This window comes from Homo sapiens, chromosome 21, assembly GCF_000001405.40.
Source record: "Homo sapiens chromosome 21, GRCh38.p14 Primary Assembly".
In the NCBI taxonomy this organism is placed as follows: domain Eukaryota; kingdom Metazoa; phylum Chordata; class Mammalia; order Primates; family Hominidae; genus Homo; species Homo sapiens.
In genome coordinates this window covers 46,229,113-46,252,198 of record NC_000021.9, presented here as the reverse complement: position 1 = coordinate 46,252,198, position 23,086 = coordinate 46,229,113, and the positions used below count along the sequence as shown (strand labels likewise).

The 23,086-nt window shown below is 45.5% G+C and overlaps 1 protein-coding gene and 1 long non-coding RNA gene across 8 annotated transcripts in view, besides 1 other annotated feature; one reads left to right on the top strand and one right to left on the bottom strand.

Annotated features, from left to right (window-relative positions):
• Positions 1–17,066, top strand: part of MCM3AP (minichromosome maintenance complex component 3 associated protein) — a 51,133-nt gene extending 34,067 nt beyond the window's left edge. For all 4 annotated transcript variants that reach the window (XM_005261205.5, XM_005261204.6, XM_005261203.5 and 1 more), the window contains 9 exons: positions 517–670; positions 5,313–5,571; positions 5,795–5,892; positions 7,002–7,392; positions 8,477–8,734; positions 9,268–9,397; positions 11,182–11,388; positions 15,220–15,370; positions 16,773–17,066. In XM_005261205.5, coding sequence (XP_005261262.1) covers positions 517–670; positions 5,313–5,571; positions 5,795–5,892; positions 7,002–7,392; positions 8,477–8,734; positions 9,268–9,397; positions 11,182–11,388; positions 15,220–15,370; positions 16,773–16,931 — 1,807 coding nt within the window. In that variant the 3' untranslated portion in view covers positions 16,932–17,066. The remainder of the gene's footprint in view (positions 1–516; positions 671–5,312; positions 5,572–5,794; positions 5,893–7,001; positions 7,393–8,476; positions 8,735–9,267; positions 9,398–11,181; positions 11,389–15,219; positions 15,371–16,772) is intronic.
• On the bottom strand, positions 498–22,968 carry MCM3AP-AS1 (MCM3AP antisense RNA 1). 4 transcript variants are annotated; one of them, NR_110565.1, is made up of 4 exons: positions 22,933–22,968; positions 21,672–21,872; positions 11,180–11,365; positions 498–2,613 (listed from the first exon to the last, which is right to left on the bottom strand). It is a non-coding gene; the product is annotated as an MCM3AP antisense RNA 1 (long non-coding RNA). The 4 variants fall into 4 exon arrangements; NR_002776.4 differs by lacking the exon at positions 21,672–21,872; NR_110566.1 differs by lacking the exons at positions 498–2,613; positions 21,672–21,872 and adding an exon at positions 15,873–15,975 and having other exon boundaries at positions 9,200–11,365.
• Positions 22,621–23,060: a silencer, noted in NCBI's record as "silent region_13416". NCBI's record gives its function as "represses an Ori minimal core promoter by ATAC-STARR-seq in GM12878 lymphoblastoid cells {active_cell/tissue: GM12878}" and the evidence as "EXISTENCE:reporter gene assay evidence [ECO:0000049][PMID:35858748]".

Here is a 23,086-nt window from a genome sequence, read left to right as displayed (position 1 = left end):
CCCCTCCTCCTGCCCAATTAAGAACAAGTAGAAGCCGGGAGCAGTGGCTCATGCCTGTAATCCCAGCAACTGGGGAGGCTGTGGAGGGAGGATTGCTTGAGCCCAGGAGTTTGAGGCCAGCATGAGCAACATAGTGAGACCCTTTGAGTGACACTCTACAAAAAAAATGGAAAGATTAGCTGGGCATGGTGGCCCGTGCCTGTAGTCTCAGCTACTGAGGCAGGTTTGCTTGCTGCGGTGAGCCAAGTTTGTGCCATTGCACTCTAGCTTGGGCGACAGAGCGAGACCCTGGCTCAAAAAAAAAAAAAAAAAAAAAAGAACGAGTACAGATCGTTGCTCCATTTTAAAACAACAGCCTGTTTTGTGCAGATCAGCTTCATAGTAAGATGTGGTATTTGTGGACCTAGGTCTGTGTGATATTTTTCTTTCTTCTTTTCCTGAAAGTCTTTATAATTCAAATATAGAATTAGATTCTTCAAGTGTTTTTTTTGTTTTTTGTTTTTTTTAAATCTGTAGAATTCTAGCAAATTGGTTAAAAGTCAAGTTCATGGGAGATGAAGGCTCAGTGGATGACACATCCAGCGATGCTGGTGGGATTCAGACGCTTTCGCTTTTCAACTCACTTAGCAGCAAAGGGGATCAGATGATTTCTGTTAACGTGTGTATAAAGGTGAACTATAATTACTTTGTGTTTACTTCTGTGTTTTCATTACTTTCACTTACTCCCAGATATCACTGGAACCATGCAAATACTGCTTATTCCCTAATGTGGTTTTGAAAGACTGGGAGGCTCAGAAGCAAGTATTATGTCTGTCCGTACATGTCGTTTAAAAAATTTTTTTAAGCCAGTCAAATTGAGTAGTGGGCACCAAGCCCAGCCTGCTTCTTTACTTTTTCTGTTTTAATACTATATATTGGATTTCCTAAATGTAATATGTACACAAAACTTTTAAAAAATGAGGAAATGTAAAAGAAGTATAAAGATGATGATAAGAGCCATCCATGCTCTTGCCATTCTGAGGTAACAGTAACTTCTTGGTGCAAATTCTTCCCTTTTCCTGGGATTACAAAGTCACATTTCATCTACTGGAAATTAGTTTACTGCTGCTGTTACCTTCATTTTCATTTAAGAAAGTAACACTTCCGTGTACTTAAAAAGAAGTCAAATAATGCCACCCACGTGATTTAAAATGAGACATAGTAGCTCCTCCTTCCTCTCTTAACTCCTTTCTTCAGGGCTGCATTTTTCTCCTGTTTCCAGATCACACACTTACACAGCCATTTCTCAGTTTATCCATTTAAATGTTCTCTGCTGACTTCCCATTAATATAAATGTATTAGTTACCTTATTCCTAAATAACTAATTACTCCTAACATAGCAGCTTAAAATAATGTCTGTTATCATGGTATCTGTGGGTCAGGAATCCAGGTGTAGCTTAGCTTGGGTCTTCTGGCTCAAGGTTTCTCATGGGTGGAAATGAAAATGTTGGCTAGGATTGTGGCCTCATCTGAAAGCTTGACTGAAGGGTATCTACTTCCCAGCTCACTCTAGTGAGCTTGTGTCAGGATTCACTTCCTTGCAGGCTGTGGCCAAAGACTTCCTCAGTTCCTGCCACATGGGCCTCTCCCCAGCTGACAGCATGGCAGCTGGCTTTCATCAGAGTGAGCAAGAGGTGAGCCTAGATGGAAGTCTGAGTGTGTTTATAACCTAAACTTAGAAGTGACATCCTGTTGCTTTTGTTGGCTTCTGTCTGTCAGAAGTGAGTGGCTAGGCCCAGCTCACGGGGCAGGAGATCACACGTGGGCATGAACACTAGGTGGAATCAGGGGGGTCCTCTTGGCCACTGCATACCATACTAGGTACAGCGTGGCCTCTTGTGCCATGGTCCTTGCTCGGCCTTCCACGTCTTCCCGGGATAGCTACACTAGCACTTTGTATTACTTCAGTGAGTGGGGTCATATTTTGATGGCTCTGTGACTGCTATTCACCTCAGAACCAGTAGTGTTCTATAACCACAATTATTTTTTTCCTGCAAGAAATAGAGTTGCCTTATTGTCTCACTTAATGTAGTTCTCTTTATCTCTTTAATTTTACTGGGGGGCCGTATATATCTCGGTAGAGTTTTCCAAATGTTCTGTCACTTCACTTGATCCATCCATGTTCCCTCTGTCCTGGAACTCTCATCTGTGGGCTGGTCTCCATCCAGGCAACATGTGCCTTAGTGCCATCATTGTGAGCATATGTGTCCCTGCTCCTCCACTTGGAAGCTCTGTGACCTTGGGCAAGTTCCCTAGCGTCTCTGCCACCTGTGTATGGGTACTGTTACTTATTATCCCTATTTTACTCAGAGACGGTAAAATAAACTGCCCAAGCCTCTGCAGGTGCTGTCTGGTGGAGATGCTCATCTGGCTCTTGAGGATAAAATGAGTGCAAACACAGACTGCACAGGACAGTGCCTGGCACAGGCCAGGTGCTTGCTCAGTGTTGCCATTAGCAGCAGCTGCAGTATTTTTTCTTGGTTCAGCCCCTTGTTGGATGTTATATGTCATGCGAGGGGAATTTTCTGAGTCTTTTCCATTATGAAAATGATTTTATTAACAAAATACCTTAAGCTGGGGGAAAGAAAAAGAAAATGCATTTATTTCATTCTGACATTTGCTTCATAGTTTAGCTACGTTTGTAAAATTATAGGTAGAAAATTATTTTCCTGGCCGCGCATAGTGGCTTATGCCTGTAATCCCAGCACTTTGGGAGGCCGAAGTGAGCGGATTGTTTTGAGTGCAGGAGTTCGAGACCAGCCTGGGCAACGCGGTGAAACCCTGTCTCTATAAAAAATACAAAAATTAGCTGGGCATGGTGGTGTGTGCCTGTAGTTCTAGTAGCTTGGGAAGCTGAGGTGGGAAGATTGCTTGAACCTGGGAGTTCGAGGCTGCAGTGAGCCGTGATCGCACCACTGCACTCCGGTGTTGACAGAGGAAGACCCCGTCTCAAAAGAAAGAAAATTATTTGCCTTCCAGTTTTGCTCCACTGTCACCTAGCATCCATTGTTGCTGTACCATTCCTGTTCCTTTCTGTGTGGCCTGGTTTTCTCTGTGGAAGCCTTTTCTCTCTGTTCATGGCGTCCTAAAAATTCACTTTGTTACACTGGCACTGGACTAGCTTCACTCACTGTGCAGGGCTTAGCAGGTCCTTTCAGGCTAGAGACTCCTATTTCACTTCTGGGACATTTTCATGTCTTTATGACACTCTGTCTTTTTTCTGTTCTCTCTTGAACTTCTATTAGATAGATGTTAGGCCTCATCAATTGATCCTCTGAGTTTCTTATCCTATTTTCTATCCTATTTTCAATCTCATCTCTTCCTACTGTGTTCTGAAAGAGTTCCTTGACTTTATTTTCCAATTGTCCTACTGAATTTTTTATTCCATATATATTACTTATTTCCTCTTTCTTTTTATCATGACTTTTTCATAGCATCTTATTTTTTGGATGCATCATCTTATCTTTCCAAGGAAATTAGGGTTTTTGGGGTCTAAGTTTTCTTTGGTTCACGTATTATCTGGTTCCTCTTTTTTTTTTTTTTCCTCTCTGTTACTCCAGTTTATCTCTTTTATGTTGGAGGCCCTCCTCAGATGCCTTACCCAAGGCTATCTGTCTATATCTGAGTGAGGCCCTAAAAGGCTAGCCAAGAAGTTCTGTGTTTGGGGTGGGGTGGATGGTAGCTAAATGGCAAGCCAGGCTTTTTGGAGGGACTCCCAAATGTCTGGATCTGGATGGCTGTTCCCTAGACTGTTCAGTTTTTCTGGAAAGGACTTGTGCCATCTGCTTTCTGGGGAGCTGCTGGTATTCTCAGGGTAGGGTTGGGAGTGGTTTGGCGCTGAGTCCCTTCCACTGTGCCTGACCATGGCCCTGCATCTGGATCCTCTCAGGACTCCTGTTCAGGGGCCCAGGGGGACTGGTTTTGCATAGAGGTTGCCTGCAGTGGTGGGTGCCGCCAATAGGGTCAGGCTCTGAACTTCACCTTTGGCTCCTGGTGTCTGCAGCGCCTGGGTATACAGGGCTTTTGCAGGCTCAGTCAACCTGACTCCTTACACACCCACATCTGCAGCCTTTAGGTATGGCATCCTCTGCTTCCCTAACCCAGGGATTGGTCACACCTATTTGCTGCTTTCTAGAAATGTATCAGAATCCCTCATCTGCTGCTGGCTTGCCTTCCCTCTTTCTATTATTATGGGCTTATATTTTTGTTTATTTTTGTAGAGATGGGGTCTTGCTATGTTGCCCAGGCTGGTCTTGAATTCCTGGCTCCTGGCCTCAAACAGTTCTCCTGCCTTGGCCTCCCCAAGTGCTGGGATTACAGTCATGAGCCACTGTGCCTAGCTTTAACTTTTTTATACCTGTTTAAGGTTAATTAAAGTTATAGTAATATGGTCAAACACAATTCTAGCTGGAGGCTAAATTACCTGTTGACCTGGCTGTTTCTTGCACTAATTCTGTTGCATTTATTCTCATTTTTGTTTCTATAAATTTAAAATATGAACATGGGTGGGCGCGGTGGCTCACACCTGTAATCCCAGCACTTTGGGAGGCCGAGGCAGGCTGATCACTTGAGGTCAGGAGTTCGAGACCAGCCTGGCCAACATGGTGAAACCCTGTCTCCATTAAAAATACAAAAATTAGCTGGGTGTGGTGGTGGGCACCTGTAATCCCAGCTACTATCCAGGAGGCAGAAATTGCAGGGAGCTGAGATCGTGCCACTGCAATCCAGCCTGGGCGACAGAGTGAGACTCCATCTCAAAAAATAAATAAATAAAAATAAAATAAAATATGAACATGCCTTATATCTGAAGGGCAGATATAGAAATTATTTTTCTAGGGTGATTGTCCTCTGAATATATGAAGAAACAATGTTATTTGACGTTTTCTTTAAAAAGGAAGTCTGAAGCTAGGCATGGTGGCTCCTCGAACCTGTAATCTCAGCTACTCAGGAGGCTGAACCAGGAGGACTGCTCGAGCCCAGCAATTCAAGACCAGCCTGGGCAACATAATAAGACCCCCTTCTCAAAAAAAAAAAAAGGTTGAGGGGAGTCTTTGCTAACAATTGGATTTAGGGAAAGAGGGGCCAGGAATTAAAATAACTACAGGAAGTAAGATAACTACAGGGTATGCCCAGCTGTGCCCTTGGAGGCCTGTCTGGAGTACAGTCAGTATTTAGTGCACGGAGAGCTTTGGCTGCACTTGCTCTGGGGCAGATCAGTCACTGCTGATGCGTCCCATGGTGCATCTCTCCTGATGATCTTGATGCTGTTGCAGGTGGCCCATGGCGCCCTCAGTGATGGTGCCATTGATGCTGTGGAGACACAGAAGGACCTCCTGGGAGCCAGTGGGCTCATGCTGCTGCTTCCCCCCAAAATGAAGAGTGAGGACATGGCAGAGGAGGACGTGTACTGGCTGTCGGCCTTGCTGCAGCTCAAGCAGCTCCTGCAGGCTAAGCCCTTCCAGCCTGCGCTTCCTCTGGTGGTTCTTGTGCCTAGCCCAGGAGGGGACGCCGTTGAGAAGGAAGTAGAAGATGGTTTGTGAAGGAAGTCTCGTTTATGAAGCAGCATTGTTTAATAAATGGGTGGAGGCCCTGGGTCTGAGGATGGTCCAGTAGTGTTGGGGTCAGGAATCACTGAGACAGCAACCCCTGTGGTGACTGTCCACTGCAGGACTGGGTGGGGTCAGCACAGTGAGATATGTTAGCAGGTGTGCTGACAGCAGAATGCAAGTGACCTTCATCTATGTCTGTCTTAAAGGTCTGATGCTACAGGACTTGGTTTCAGCTAAGCTGATTTCAGATTACACTGTTACCGAGATCCCTGATACCATTAATGATCTACAAGGTTCAACTAAGGTAAGGTTTCATCATTTTTAATGGTCTGTCAAGATATTTTGTTTTTTCCCCTTTTGCTGTATCTTGAATTGAGTGTATATTAGCGTTTGCATTGTCTTTTTCTTAAGAGACAGGGTTTTATTGTCACCCAGTATAGTGGCATGATGATAGCTCCCTGCAACCTCAAACTACAGGGCTCATGCAATCTTCCCACTTCAGTCTCCCAAGTATATGGGACTACTGTGGTGTGCCACTGCGCCTGGCAGCAGTTGTATGTTTTATACAGATAACTTTCTAAAAACATAAGCAGAAATCAAAATAAAAGATAAAATTTGCCCACAGTCCTGCTATCTGCAAATTAAATTGTTCATGTAAAATTTTTTAGTGTTTTTGTTTCTATGAATTTAAAATATGAACATGTCTTATATCTGAAGGTCAGATACAGAAGTTATTTTTCTAGGGTAATTGTCCTCTGAATATATGAAGAAATAATGTTATTTGATGTTTCCTTTAAAAAGGAAGTCTGAAGCTGGGCGTGGTGGCTCCTCGCACCTGTAGTCTCTGCTACTCGGAGGCTGAAGCAGGAGGACTGCTTGAGCTCAGGAGTTTGAGACCAGCCTGGCCAACATAGCAAGACCCCCTTCTCAAAAACAAAAAAAATAGGGCAGGGGGAGTCTTTGCTAACAATTTAGAGAAAGAGGTGCCAGGAATTAAAATAACTATAGGAAGTAAGATAACCATAGGGTGTGAAGGCACCTTGGCACATAGTGAAGCTGTTAGTCCTTCCAAAAAGGAGAAGACTCCATTTCTGTGCATGGTGAAGGGGATGTTCAGGGCTGGTTTCCTGAGGGCCTGGGCCTTTCCATGGGGCAACCATGCAGGTCACACTCCTCCTCAGGCCAGGTGGGATCTGGGGGCTCTCTTTAGTGCCCCTACTGGACATGTCTCCAGAGCCCTAGAAGGCTAAACTCAACTGCATAGGACACTTCTGTTCCCCTTCCTACCACAGTTGAGAGCCCAGTACTCTGGTATTACCTGCTGTGGGCAACCTTGGGGGATCAAGCCCTTTCAGAAAGCTGTTTTTGAAAAACAGTGTGAATTGTTCAACCAAGTCTCTTCTTTCTTCTCAGGTTTTGCAAGCAGTGCAGTGGCTGGTTTCCCACTGCCCCCATTCCCTTGACCTCTGCTGCCAGACTCTCATTCAGTACGTCGAAGACGGGATTGGCCATGAGTTTAGTGGCCGCTTTTTCCATGACAGAAGAGAGAGGCGTCTGGGCGGTCTTGCTTCTCAGGAGCCTGGCGCCATCATTGAGCTGTTTAACAGTGTGCTGCAGTTCCTGGCTTCTGTGGTGTCCTCTGAACAGCTGTGTGACCTGTCCTGGCCTGTCACTGAGTTTGCTGAGGCAGGGGGCAGCCGGCTGCTTCCTCACCTGCACTGGAATGCCCCAGAGCACCTGGCCTGGCTGAAGCAGGCTGTGCTCGGGTTCCAGCTTCCGCAGATGGACCTTCCACCCCTGGGGGGTACGTGCTTGACCTGGGGAGGTCTGGTGGGTGGCTGCAGCCAAGTCTCAGGCTTCCTTCTCACTGTAGTAACCGTCTGGCAGGTGTTGGGCACCAGTGTGAGGGCTGCACGTCCACCTCCGTGTGTCTCCATGCTGTGCTCGCCTGCACCTTCCTTTGGTCCTTTGGGTTCATGAGCCAGAACAAGCTGGGTTTTGTGGAGTGGGGGCTGTTAGCCTTTCCTGACCAGCAAGGCAGTCCATGGGAGTTCACTCAGCTTCAGGAGAAAAGTGACAAGTGGTACTGGGAGGAACACCAACCCTGATCCTGTCCTGCCTGCCCACAGGGTCCCTGTTTTCAGAACAGACAAGGGGCAAAGAGCATGGGGACCATGTAGCCCTGTCCCCAAGCCGCAGCCATGGCACTCAGTGCTGATTTAACATTCTTTCTTTGTCAAAGAGGCCTTCTTCTATGGCTCTGGCTGTGCCCCTGTTCCTGGCTGAGGTCTTTGGGCTGTTTTGACACAGATCCGACAGGCCATCTGGCTGGCTCAAGCCCAGTATGGCATGGGGCTGCTCCTTCCTATGCACTCAGAAGGGAATGAGCTGCTTATCTGGCAGAAGTTGTGGCATTAGCACAGACACTCCCCTTTGGGCCTCAGGCGCCCTTCTAAATTGTGGTGTGTGGTCTGTAGTAGGTCTAACTCATGCTCATTATTGAAGGAACCCAAAGGGAAGCAAACCACTCAGCACAAGCCCTCGGTGCTCTGGTTAGGTTGGGGTTCCCCAAAATAAGCTAAGACTGCTTATACCAGACTCATCTGGGTGCTTGTTAAAATACAGATTTCCTAGGCACAACCACAGGCCTGTACAGTCAGAACTTCTGGGTAGAACTTGGCTAGCAACACTGTTAAGGGGGACTGTCTGCATCCCTCACCTAGACCCTGGGAGCAAGCTGCTCTTCCCCCTCAACAACTGTGGTTCTGCTGTGTTTAGAAAGCAGACTTCTCAACTTCACAGTTGCCTTCTCCTGAGAAAATGTTTTCATGTACATTTTCACCTGTATTTTGGCCAAACCTGTAACTAATGAGGCACTTTCTCCCCAGCCCCCTGGCTCCCCGTGTGCTCCATGGTTGTCCAGTACGCCTCCCAGATCCCCAGCTCACGCCAGACACAGCCTGTCCTCCAGTCCCAGGTGGAGAACCTGCTCCACAGAACCTACTGTAGGTGGAAGAGCAAGAGTCCCTCCCCAGTCCATGGGGCAGGCCCCTCGGTCATGGAGATCCCATGGGATGATCTTATCGCCTTGTGTATCAACCACAAGCTGAGAGACTGGACGCCCCCCCGGCTTCCTGTTACATCAGGTAATTAGAGCTTGATGCAATGGGATCAGCTCCTCACGAGACTTTCCTGGTCCAGTTTCTGCAAAGGAAGATGTTTAGTTGATGTTGCTGCTTTTCTTTTGGGTCTCTATCCTTCCTTTCCTTAGGACTTCCCTCTTCAAGTGAGTGACTTAAAAACATTGAGACAGGCTAGGAAGTTTCTGGTAGAGCCTGAACTCACCTCCCTGAAACAGGCCCCCTAGGATGGCTCTTAGAGAGGATTTTGTGGCTTTTGAGTAGTCATTACTGGCCCTGCCAGTCTCGATGTAAGCTTGTCTGGACTTTGAGTGATGCATGGACCCTGGGAGCCTATTTAACCCAAGTGTGGAAGTCACATAATTGTGTGACTTTAATCAAAGGTCTTGCACTTAAATCAGTGAATTTAAGCACATGCCACCTGTCGCTGTTTAAATATTATTTGTACCTGTTTTTGTTTTTTTGTGTGTGTTTTTTTTTTTTTTGAGACAGGGTTGGCCAGGCTGGCCTCTTTATCTGTTTTTGTATTGTTTTCTCAGAGGCGCTGAGTGAAGATGGTCAGATATGTGTGTATTTTTTTAAAAACGATTTGAAAAAATATGATGTTCCTTTGTCGTGGGAACAAGCCAGGTTGCAGACGCAGAAGGAGCTACAGCTGAGAGAGGGACGGTGAGGTTCATGTTCAGTATGTTTCTGTTGCTTGCTAAACTGTATTTTTCTTGCAAAGTAAATAGAAATTAACATCCTACATGCCAAATCCAGTCCACTGTGGGCAGACTGTGACAAATCCTCAAGGAACAGATCATTCCCATGCAGTAGAAACTATTCTAGAACAAAGTTAAAGCATCTCACTTCATTTATCAGGCATACCTGACCCTGAAATCATACCTAACCAGGAGAGTACAGCTGACATTTCATCTCACTTCCAAATTTGGTTCCAAAGCACAGTACCTAAAAAAGTTCACAAGTATGCTTTCTCCCAGGATAAACAATAACAGTGAAAATCTATTAATGTAATTTGTTGCCATAATAGAAAAATAAGTGGTAATTTTAGCAGGCGTTGAAATACGTTTCTTAAAATTTATACCTGTTCCTGATAAAATTTCTTTATTTTGGGTACTTTCTTTAGCTTGGGTTAAAAAAAAAAAAAGTCCTAACTTGATAAGGCTACCTAACATAAAACTACCAAAATAGAAAAAAAACATGCTTCTTGGTAGAATGTTAGGAACAGTGGAATCAGAACCAGCCTGTTGTCCCGACTATTATTCACTATTGTCCTGGAAATCCTGACCAGTACAGGGATGTGGGATAGACAGGCACAAATACTGAAAGGAAGGAGAAACTGTCATTTCCAGACAGTACAGTTGTCAGTCCAAGAAAAGTCAAGTCCATAGAACCATTCTCAGTTCAATAAGGTGATCAGATAGATAGATCCACAACATGTTAAAAAAAAAAAAATTCTCATTCACAACAATAAACCTGAACAGAAAGGGCACAGGATGGTGGAACTTTGCTGTTCCTTCTTGTTCCCCATAGAGATCCTTGAAGTACCTTCTCCAACTCCATGATACTCTAAAAACTGTTCATCTTCATAATAGGAGTGGAGCCTAATCCTTGGTCTCCTCACCTCCTGGTTTCCCGGAATGTCTTTCTCATTAACATATGAGTTCTCAGGGCCTGTATGTGCAAAGGAAACCTGAACCATTGAGGTTCAGACTAGGTTGTTGACAGGATACAATGCTGTGAAGATGTCAGTACTGGTAAGTTCTAAAATTCATCAGGATAAACAAATATGCATCAATTGCTGAGAAAGTTTTAAATAAGACTAACATGGTTTGCTTGGCCTGATACCAAGACATACAGTAAAGCTCCAGTACTTAAAACCATGTGGGGATGCCAGAGTAGATAAATGGATCAGAATAAAGAGTCAGAATATGTGACAAAAGTGTTAGGCCAAATTATTGAAATTAGTGGGGAAAAGACAAACATTGGCATGTGTTTAGAAAAAAATGTCAGATGCCTTCTCTCTCACCATTTGTAAACATTACTTCCAAATGTATCCAAGAGCTATCTATAAAAAACCTTGCCAATACTAGGGAAGAACAGAATCTGGAACCCTAGGGTGGGAAGCAAGACATGAAGCAGAGAAGCTCCAAAAACCTAGCTGCCTCTTGAGAGCAGAAGCTTCCAAGAGGAACAGGCAGTCTCAATGCCTCTGTGCATAAGGGTCCCTACAGTGCAGGGGCTGCCTTCCCTCTTTGCTCCACTCCCTGACTTGATGGAAGCTTGGAAGCAGGCATGGGGCCAGCATGAGCTGTTCCAGGAGGGCACATGTGTCTGAGGCACATGTTCTTACATGTTAATGCACATGTGCAAATGTATCTACATGCTTTACATGATGCTGTAGAAATATTTTCTCTTGACCATAAACATTTCAAATCATGTACTTACAGTTTGGCAATAAAGCCTTTTCATCCTTCTGCAAACAATTTTCCCATACCATTGCTTCACATGCACCGTAACTGGAAGAGGAGCACAGAGTGTGCTCAAGAGGGGAGGATTCCCAGCACAGAGGATCTGATGCGAGGAGCTTCTGCTGAGGAGCTCTTGGCGCAGTGTTTGTCGAGCAGTCTGCTGCTGGAGAAAGAAGAGAACAAGAGGTGAAGCCCACTTCCTTCTAATTCATGTGTGTTTAGTCTGCTTTATGCTGTGAGGGGAGACTGGTTATTGCTTGATTAATATAAGACAGCCAGGATGGAGAAGGGCAGGTGGATTATTAGCAACAGTTTTAGTGATGTAACTATTTAAAAGCTCTTTGAAGACAGAAGCAGTGCCCTAGATAGTATGTTTCTAACTGTTTATATTGAAGTGAATTTCATTTATTATTTATTATTGAAAGTCAGTGTTAAGTTTTTCTGGGAAATTCATGTGGTTAAGTCTGCTCAGAAGATGGTGAGTGCTGAACACTATGGCTGGCCACAGGCACCCTGCCCTTGGGAGCCTGAGGCATTGGTGGATCATCCCATGCTGTGAATGGACAGGAGCTGGGGCTGCCCCTCCTCTACATTGCCCACTTCCCTCCCTCCCATGCATACCTTTCCTTTGCTTTCATTTGATGGCCATGTTTACCATTTTACTGAGTAGAATCAGGAATAAGGGACCTTCCACAGGTTGTCCTCTGCCTTCCCTGCCCTCCCAGCCACATCCAGCATCCTCCCTATATCCCCTTCCTGACGCCTCTTGTTGCTGGAAACGAACCATGCAGCTCGTAGTCAGTCAGCCCTTCCCTGGGCTGGGATCTCATCTCCCACCTACCCAAGGACATTCATTCAATGAGTATCTCTCTCGTGCTACCACCCCTCCCCATATTAGGTGGTGCCCATCAGCAGCACACAGACATGAAACATGCCTCCCTGTCTTGGTCCCACTTCCCTCTTTAGCCACCACTTCATGTTTCTGCCCTCTTAATGGTAAAACTCCTCAAAAACGCTTGTGATACTCACTTCTTCAGCCTTCTTTCCCATGGGGATGAAGGCCCAGGGTTGAACATGACCGTGAATCCCAGTCCTTGGTAGCATCCCATACTTGATCCTCCCCTCCTTGCTCCTAGGATGTCCGTGGTCCCCCTCCTGCCCTGCTGGTTCCTCCTCATCCCCCAGCTGCCCCCTGGATTCATTCTCTCAACCTCTCCTCTGCATCGTCTGTACCTACTCCTCAGAAATTTCATCCAGTTTCATGGATTTTTAAGTAACATCACTATTCTGACAGCTCCAAATTTGTATCTCAAACCTCTGAACTCCACACTTGAACATGCTACTGCTTCCTTGAAATCTTCATTAGACACCTATTGGATGTCTGGTAGCCACTGCAAAGTTAACATATCCCAAATCCAGTTCCCGGCTTTCTTCCAACCAACCCCTTCCTTTGGTGGTCATCTCTGTTGATGGCGGCTCCATCCTTCCAGCTGCCTAGATCAGGTGCCTTGGAATCATCCCCTCACATCAGCCCATTCACATATCCTATTGGCTCTATTGAAAATACATTCAGAATTGGACCACTTGTTATGACTTCCATGGCCACCACGTGGCTCAAGCCACTATCATCTTCCTTCTGGATTATTACAGTAGGCTGCAGTTTAGTCTTGGTAGACCTGGTGGGTGCCTTTCAAGTGAGTTAAGATGGAGGTCGTGTCACTTGCTTGCTTACAGCCTCTCAGTGGTTTCCCTCTTTCACCTGCAATCAAAGGCAAACTTTGCAGGGGTGGCCAGGGCCCTGAGTGATCTGCCCCCCATTTCCTCTCTGACCTCCGCTCCTTCCTTGAGCATGGTAGGCAGTTCACAGTTGGGCCTCTGAGTTTGCTGTTCCTTTTGCCTAGGACTGTCCAGCCCCTCCATTCTCCCCAGCATCCCCATGGCTGATCTTGTACTCACTTCAGATCTCTACTCAAATGTCTGCTTCTGTTAGGCCCTGCTTGCCCATCTCCGACCTTCTTGTTTCCATGGCTCTGCTTTGTCTTTCTCATCTTCAAACCATGTTTCTCTTGTTATGTGTTCCTTGTCTGTCTCTCCTCACTAAAGTATAAATTGCTTAGGGCAGGGCCTCTGTTTTGTTTCAGTGCAATATTCCTTGTACCTAGAATGATGCCTAGCATCTGGAGGAGGCTTAATGAATATGTTTTGGAAGGGTGAATGAATGTGTCCGATTACTAAAATCAGTCTCTATAATTTAAGTGGTTTGGGATGAGATTTTTTTTTCCTTTTTATTAGATAGAGTCTCGCTCTGTTGCCCAGGCTAGAGTGCAGTGGCACAATCTCGACTCACTGCAACCTCCACCTCCCAGGTTCAAGCAGTTCTCCTGCCCCAGCCTCCCAAGTAGCTGGGACTACAGGTACCCATCACCATGCCTGGCTGATTTTTGTATTTTTAGTAGAGACGCAGTTTCACCATGTTGGCCAGGCTGGTCTTGAACTCCTGACCTCAGGTGATCCACCTGCCTTGGCCTCCCAAAGTGCTGGGATTACAGGCATGAGCCACTGCACCTGGCCAAGATTGTTTTTCTTGAAAAGACCGGTATATGGAAGTAGACAGCTCTAGAGTATGTTAGGTGGCAGTGGGATATTATTTTGAGTTAATTTTAAGCTATAAGCAGCAATCCACTCATTTGGAAAATGTCAGAAGAATTAATTATAGATGCATAAAACCAAAGTAAATTAAATAAGATAAGCCAAACAAGACAATTACAAGTAATGTTAAGTAACACATCGAAGCAGTTGTTTTTGGATTAATACCACCTTTTTCATTAAATATAAATTGGAATTGGATTTATAAATTAAAGGGAAGTGGTTTCTCTAATTTTTTTTTTTTTTTTTTTGAGATGGAGTTTTGCTCTTGTTGCCCTGGCTGGAGTGCAATGGCGTGATCTGGCTCACTGCAACCTCCGCCTCCCGGGTTCAGGCAGTTCTCCTGCCTCAGCCTCCCAAGTAGCTGGGATTACAGGCACGTGTCACCATGCCTGGCTAATTTTTGTATTTTTAGTAGAGACGGGGTTTCACCATGTTGATCAGGCTGATCTTGAACTCCTGACCTCAGGTGATCTGCCCGCCTCGGCCTCCCAAAGTGTTGGGATTACAGGCATGAGCCACCGAGCCCAGCCTAGTTTTTTTTTTTAAATTAAGCTTTATCATAGGAAGTTGTTAAATTTTTAATAAGTACATTTCTGCTTCTCAGTTGATGTCATAACTTAGTTATATTCTTAGTAAAAAGCAAAGGCTTAAGGCTGGGTGTGGTGACTCATGCCTATAATCCCAGCACTTTGGGAGGCTGAGGTGTGCACATCACTTGAGTTCAGGAGTTGTAGACTAGCCTGACAATACAGCAAAATCCCGTTTCTACAAAAAAATACAAAAATTAGCTGGGTGGCATGCGCCTCTAGTCCCAGGTATTTGGGAGGCTGAGGTGAGATCATTTGAGCTTGGGAGGTCAAGGTTGCAGTGAGCCAAGATTGTAACACTGCACTCCGGCCTGGCCAACAGAGCGAGACCTTGTCAAAAAAAAATAATAATAAAATTGGCCAAGCACAGTGGCTCACTCCTGTAATCCCAGCACTTTGGGAGGCCGAGGTGGGTGGATCACCTGAGGTCAGGAGTTCAAGACCAGCTTGGGCAATATGGTGAAACCCCATCTCTACTAAAAGTACAAAAAATTAGCTGGGCACAGTGGCACTTGCCTATAATCCCAGCTACTCAGGAGGCTGACGCAGGAGAATCACTTGAACCTGGGAGGCAGAGGTTGCACTGACCCGAGATTATGCCACTGCACTCCAGCCTGGGCAACAGAGTGAGACTCTGTCTCAAAAAAAAAAAAAAAAAAATTATATAAAATTTTAAAAAAGCAAAGGCTTAAAAAGTTTTTAAGTATATATAGAAGATTAATGAACAATAGTTAACTTCCTAATGCTCAAATATTTTTGAATTTATTACATATTGTTTCAGGTTTGAAGATCAGCTTCAGCAATGGTTGTCTGAAGACTCAGGAGCATTTACGGATTTAACTTCCCTTCCCCTCTATCTTCCTCAGACTCTAGTGTCTCTTTCTCACACTATTGAACCTGTGATGAAAACATCTGTAACTACTAGCCCACAGGTGAGAAGAACGTATACATTTGGCATTTACATAAGAATTAAAGATTGAGAGAATGGCTGGGGAAAAAAGTAATATCACGATTTATCCTATGATGTTTTGATGACCGACAAATTATTAGCTCAAATTAGACCTTTTCTTAAACTTTATCCATATCATTGTTAAAGAGACCCAACTGATTTTGAGTTTCTGCCTACGAAATAAATGAAGAATAGAATTGAAATATTCTTAAGAACTGAATAAGACCTGTAACTGTGTGCTGATGTGTAATTAAGGGCATTAAGGTGATGACAGCAGCTTCTGTTGGAGCACATATTGTCTGAGCTTTGGCATTACCCAGACCTCTCTTCTGGGATTAATTTTTCCTGAGGAAAACTAATGAATGAGGAAGGTAAGCTCCCAGAAGTCAAGAGCCTCACCCAAGAGTGTTCAAGTAGTGAGTGGTCAGGTTGCTTTTCAAAGCCAGATCCAACTGGCTCCAAAGCCTAAGGTCTTTTTACCTTACCATTCTTCCTTCAGTGGTTAAAGATGCAAAAACAGAGTTTCAATCACAGATATGTGCCACTGAACAGGTAAAAACTGTGCTCCTGGACTGGCTTTAGGAAGTCCTTCAATAGAGGAGAAAAGCAAATTAAAATGATGTACTGTTTCCATTCATCAGTTTGGCAAATACTTTAAAAATATTCATACCCTTTGAATTACCAATTCTAACCTAAAGAATTCTGACCTACCAGATATTCCCCAAAAATTAATGTATAAAAATGTTTACTGTAGCATTATTGTATGAAAGTCGAAACAGAATAAATATCCGAAGATGGGAGTCTGATTAAACAATTATAACACATTCATGTGATAGAATAATTCACAGCCCTTGACGATGATATTTTCTAAAAATGACTGGCTGGGCGTGGTGGCTCATGCCTGTAATCCCAGCACTTTGGGAGGCTGATGAGGGAGGATCGCTTAAGTCCAGGAGCTTGAGTCCAGCCTGGGCAACATAAAGAGATCTCATCTCTACAGTACATAATTAGCCAGGCATGGTGCTACATGCCTGTTGTCCCAGCTACTCAGGAGGCTGAGCTGGTAGGATCACTTGAGCCCAGGAGTTTGAGGCTGCAGTAAGCTCCGATCATACCACTGCGTTCCAGCCTGGGTGAAAAATGACTGACACTGGAAATTGTTCATGATAGAATACAAAGGCAAACAGTCTATATACAGATACCAGCTGAATGTACGAGCTAAATGAGGCTGGAAGGATATACAAAGGATAATTTTTTTCCCTCTGTAAAAATAAATGACTACTCAGATGAGGTTTCTAACATGATCCAGATCTAGTACCTTCCCAGAGATAGGTCGTGGTTTATTGACATCCCAAAACTGTTCAGTTTCTTTTTTATTCAAATAGAGTGACATGATGAGGGAGCAACTGCAGCTGTCAGAGGCGACAGGAACGTGTCTAGGCGAACGACTAAAGCACCTGGAAAGGCTGATCCGGAGTTCAAGGGAAGAGGAAGTTGCCTCTGAGCTCCATCTCTCTGCGCTGCTAGACATGGTGGACATTTGAGCAGCCTGACCTGTGGGGAGGGGGTCTCTCCCGAAGAGTTTCTGTTTTTACTCAAAATAATGTTATTCTCAGATGCTTGATGCACTGTTGGAAATGTGATTAATTTAATCATGCAGATAAACCATTTAAATGTCAGTCTCCCAGTTTTTCATAATGAAAAGTTGTTTCCCCTGTGTGACCTCTTCAATATTCTCCTATATTCATGACCTCCTCAGATTGTCACCCACCAGCATATGCTCTGAGGCAGTTTAGAGCTTACATTTCCATGTATAAAAGGCGATTCATTCTCTCAGCAAACTTGCAGTCCTTGATGTGCCAGACATCAGTGATGCAGAGATAAAGTAAGACACAGGGCCTCTGCCTGCTAAGCCCACCCAGCTTACATCCAGGAGAGTCAGGTACTTATGTACATAATTCTCAGAGAATGTGCATGAGGCGTGGGCCTGAATTGGTAGCAAGGAAAAAACAGAGGATGGAACAGGGTCTGGTTGGGTAGAGGAGAAACAGAATTCCCGGAGAGGAGTGCAGGGGTGTAGCTGGAGACAGTGTACTTGAGAGGACATGATGAAAGCGTGGAGGTACCAGCTTGGTTGTGTGGCCAGGTGAGGGGAACAGGCCAGCAGGGTGAGGTCAGAGATTCTTGTCACCTTCTTCTGAGAGCTGTGAGAACCCGTTGTTGAAGATTAGGCAGAGAAGTGATCTGGTCACATTTTCTTTTAAGAATGGCATGTAGGGCAGGAATCTTGAGAGGTGGGTGCTGCAGCCATCCAGGTGAAATTCAAAGGGAATAAGCGTGAGTTTGTTAGCAATTGGTGTGAAGAGAGGGGATAAAATTTGAGCCATATACAGAAAGAGGTATTAATAGACTTGGTGATGTTGCGTATGACCACCAATCTTAAACTGGCACTCAGCATCTCCTGACTGTAATCCTACATCCCCAGACTCTATTTCATGTCTTCTCATTCTCTTCAAACCTCCAACATTCTTAGATCATGTCCTCCTTATTTCACTGAGAAAACAACAGCACTAAGAAGAGAACCTCTTCCTCCACCAAATCAATCCCTGCTTCTCCAAACACACACTACTCAACTCAGGGATCTTTAGTGATTAGCTTCATGTAAAGACTTAAATAATGCTATTTCTTAATCTTGACTTGACATTGTTGACTTCCTACAATGGAAGAGGAGTTAGCTTCTCTTACACTGTCTTTCCCACAACATATTATCACCCCCACCCTCGACACCCACATTTCCTCTCCTATTAGTCTCCCTAAGCAGTTTGATATTGGCTGAAACCTGCATTCACAGTTTAGTATAACTGTATGTTTACCATTTCCTGTTGAGCCCTTTATTGGTTTATGATTACATTTCCTTTAGGTACAACTTTTGATTTTTCCTGGAGTTAATTACATTGTTTTTCTCATTTGCTTGGTTTTCTATGCTCTTGTCACTACTTTACCCAAAAGTCGCTGCCCTAAATGTAAAGCTCTTCCCAACAAAGTCATGTGCATCAGGTAATATGCTCCACTTTCTCTTCGAGATGTTCCTGAGAACCCCCTGTCTTCTTGCCATAACTTGGACATTTCCTGGATTCTGAATCATATTTTCCTCTTGCTTGGTTTTCTCTTCTTGATGGAGCCTGTCCTTTAGTAGCCTCCTGAGCTTGAATATCTAAAATGTCTTTATTTCTACTGTAATATTATCAAATATATATCTGGTCTTTGTCTCTGCCTTCTGATATACAACTCCTAAAATCCTTGAGATCTCTAAAGTGATGTCTTTTTGTATGCTAGTAAGATGACTGATGGCGGACAGCTCCTATGTAGCTTCAGGATAGGGACTGGACATCTGAAAGACCAGGGCATGATTAGAGGGGTTGAAACTTTCAGCCCACCCCCCAAACTCCCAGAGGTTGGGGGAGAGGGACTGAAAGTGACGTTGATCGCCAGTGGCCAATGATTTAATCAATCATGCCTATGTAATGAGGGCTCCTAAAAACCCAAAAGGACAGGGTTCAGAGAGCTTGTGGATAGCCAAATGTGTGGGGGCTTCCAGGAAGGTGGACAAGAACACGTCCACATGCTGAGAGAATGGCACTTCGCAACTCCTTGCAGACAGAAGCTCCTGCTCTTGGGACTCTTCTAGGCTTCATCCTGTGTATCTTTTCATCTGGCTATTTGTAGCCTTTAAAATAGCCTTGTAATAAACATGTGTTTCCCTGAGTTCTGTGAACTGCTCTTGTAAATTAAAGCCAAGGAAGGGGTCTTGGGAACCCAGAAGGACAGGTAAAACAACCTGGGGCTTGTGATTGACACTGGACATGGGGCTCAGTCTTGCGGCACAGAGTCCTCAACTTGTGTGATCTGCTGCTATCTCCAGGTAGACGGTGCAGGATTGAAGCGGATACCCAGCTGGTGTCTGCTGTACAGCTGAATGCTTGCTTGTCGGTGGGGAGAAATTCTCTACATCTGGTGCCAAAAGGATGTTGTGAGAGTAAAGAAATGGTTTTTTTTTGTTTTTTGGACTTATCTATCCTTACGTTTGATTCATCATTTGAATGAGAATAGAATTTTAGATTGGAAATCGTTCCTTTGTGTTTTTGCTTTTTTTGTTGCTGGAAATTTTTGAGATCATCTCTATTCCTGGTGTTCTCAAATTTCTCAATGACATTACTTCATATGTTGCCTCCCCATTCCCTCCCCAACCCCTGCCCAATTTATTGTGCTGGGCACTTTGTAGTCCTTTTTTCTAGTTTTTTTGTTGCTATTGAACAAATTACCCCAAATATAGTAGCTTAAATTTGAGGAGGATTCAGCTGGGCAGCTTTCTGTTGGGATCTCTCATGCAGCTGCAGTCAGGTATTGGCTGAGGTTATAGTCATCTGAAGGCTTGACTGGGTCAGTGGTCCAAGATGGATCACTTGCATGGCTGGAGGTAATGTTGCACTGTTTTCCCCAAATGTCTGGCTCATGCTGATGATGGTGCTTGTTGGAAACTGTCAATGGGTACAGTCTGCCAGCTAATAGGTTTGTTTTTCTACTAGGTCATAGTTGCCAGTGTTTGCAGGACTCTTGTGGGCCAGCTGCTCCAGAGGGATCCTCCCACTATCTCATGCTATCTGGCTAAGTGGGAGAAGTGAGCCTGGACCCACATGTGTAGACTTTAACTCAATCTGTCTGCTTTCAGTGGTCCTCAGCTATGCCTCATGCCTGAGGTAACACCTACTCTGATTCAACTACTGGAGACTTCCTCCACCCAAGTAGGAGAGGGGATCTATGGTCATACTGTTCCTCACAAAAATTTTCCACCAGTTATTCCAATTTCTGCACCTTCCTGGTATTTGCTGGCAGGAATGGTCTCTTGTTGGCTTCACCCACAAACGTAAGTCTCAACTTTCTCTAGCTAACTCAGTTATCACTTCTCCATCCATTCCCAGTCTCTATAATTTTGTTGACTTCTCTTGCTTACTAGTGTCTCCTCTCCCATTCTTTGTGGGGTTTTTTTGGTCTTTTATTACTTTATGTGAGTAGGGTTTGGGCAGGAAATGGAGGTTAATGTTTATGCTCAGTCTGCCATGTTTAACTGAAAATTTCTTTCAAAATTCTGCCATTAGGCTTTTCCCCCCATGTCTCTTTAGATAGCTCTTGTCAGTCACCAATACATTGTTTTGTTGCATCCAATAATAAATTCTGTCTTCATTTTGCAATCCCTTCAAAGCCTCAGCAAAGATCACCATGTCTTCACTTATATTATGACTTCATATTCCTCTGGTTTTCCTCCTCTCTCTGGCCATTCCTCTATACTGGAAAAGGTCGGTGCCCCAGGGCTCATTCTAGAACTTCTCTTTTTTATGTGCATTTCCTAATTCATCTTGTCCAATCTCATGATTTCAAATACTACCTGAAAGCAAATGACTCCCAAATTCCTATCTCTAGCATTATGTTCTCTCCTGAATGCCAGCCTACTCAATATTTCACTTGAATGTCTAATAAGCATCTCTAGTATAACTTGTCCCCACTTTAATCTGAATTTTCCAATCAAACTTTCCCTATTTTAGGCCAGGTGTGGTGGCTCATGCCTATAATCCCAACACTTTGGGAGGCTGAAGTGGGAGGATTCCTTGTGGCCAGGAGTTTGAGACCATCCTGGGCAACATAGCGAGACCCCGTGTCTCTACCAAACTTTAAAAAAATCAGCCAGGTGTGGTGGCACACGCCTGTAGTCCCAGCTATTCAGGAGGCTGAGCCCGGAAGATCACTTAGCCCTGGAATTTGAGGCTGCAGTGAGCTAATGATTGTGCCACTGCATTCCCACCTGGGTGACAGACTGAGATCCTGTCACTAAATAAATAAAAGACACCTCTATTTTAGTAAATGACCACCACCATATACCCAGTTGTTGAGGCCAAAATCCTCAGAGCCTTCTGTATCTGGCTTAATGAATAAGCTGGATGCAGTAGTATGTAAGCAGATAGGAACAGTGTTTTTTCTCATGACTGCCCCTAGAAGCTTAACTGTGTCAATTCTCAGACGTAGTTTACAGCTTTTTCTTTTCTTTCAGACATTAAAAAGAGCGGATTATTTTACTCATAAAAAGTCCAGTCCATTAAGATATCAAAACTCAAACTCTTATCCAGTTGAAACCTCTTCCCTCACCTAGCTTTGCCAGGTTCAGTGTGAGATTCCATCCAGGCTGAAGCCCCTTATCCCTATTCTTCATGTTTCTACATGGAGGAACTTACCTGGAGAAAAACTTCCAGCCTCTTTCTGCTTCCAGAGAAGTAGAGTGACTCATTTGATTGAATTTCAGAGAACAGATAGGGTGGAGTGTGCTCAGGCTCCTCTGGGTACTCTTTCTGGGGTCTGTGGGTTGACTGGAGGGGTGTCTTCTGGTGGGCACTCAATTGCATAGTGCTTGGTGAGGCAGTTTCATGGCCTAGAGGCTGGGGGATATGTTTGTCTGACTTAACGGGTGATTTAGTAGCTTGCCCTCTTGCTTGCAGATTTAAGCCTTGTCCTTCAAGCTAGGTTTTTAATTTGTGGCAAAGCTGATATTTTGATACCCACCCATCTTATTGCTGTGTCTTTTTCATCCGTTTCTGAACTGGGATAGGAAGAGGTGATTATCCTTGATTGTCTAAAACCCCGCTATTCCACTGTGGGGAAGGTGCCTGTGGGTATTCTTTTGTCCACTCTCTCTTCCAACTTTCTCCTCCGGCTTGCTGTGGCTCACCGCCCCTTCGAAGTTAGGCTGGGGGTAGGAATTGAGGAGTGGGTGCCGAAATGCTCACTAGGCTGGGGCAGTTGTAACTGGATGTCAGGGCTTCTGTGGGCCAGGTGAAGACATGCTGGGGTCTTCTGTGGGTCCTTGACCTGACTTACGGACCACTGGCTGCAGCCTCCAGACGTCAGCCATGTTTCCAACAGTCAGACGCCCCCTGCCCTGTTGCGCCCGGCTGTCCCTTCCAAGTTCGGTCACTCGCTCTGCCTCCATCTTCCTCTTCCCTCTGCTGCTAAGGCTTTTCACCTTTAATTTCTCCTGGGGCCACCCCCAACTCCAGCGACCCCGTGAGCAGCTGAGGCTCTACCGCGCTCGGTCCTGGCCAGCGACGCAGCCCTTCCCTGGCGGGGCTCCAGGGCTTCTGGCCCCTGTGGTCCGCCAGGTGTGGGGGCCCACGGCCTCACCGCGCCTACCCCACTCCCCCCGGCGAAGCTACGCGGCGCTCAGCTTCCCAGGGACGCCGGCGGCGCCCTCGGCTCCTCCGCTCCGCCCCGCCCTCCCCCTGGTCTCGCACTGGAGCCGACGGCCCGCGCCCACCTCACCTCAGGGCGGCCTCCCGCCCCCACCCCCGGCCCCGGCGTCCGGGCAAATCCTGCAGCGCGAGAGCAATTCCCTGCCACCCGACCTTCGCACTCGCTGTCGCTCGCTCGAGCCTCGCTCCCCACGTCCTTCCTTCCGACCCGCGGCTGGACCCTCCTCACAAATTTCTCAGAGAGGCTCACCTCAAAGCGCGGCGCACGAGGCCGGGCTCCCGGGACGCAAGCCTCTAGAGGGCGCGCGAGAGGCCCCGCCCCCGCCCTTCGGCCCCACCCACCAGCCCCGCCCCCACCCGCACCCACCAGGCCCCGCCCCCACCTCCCCACCCACCAGCCCCGC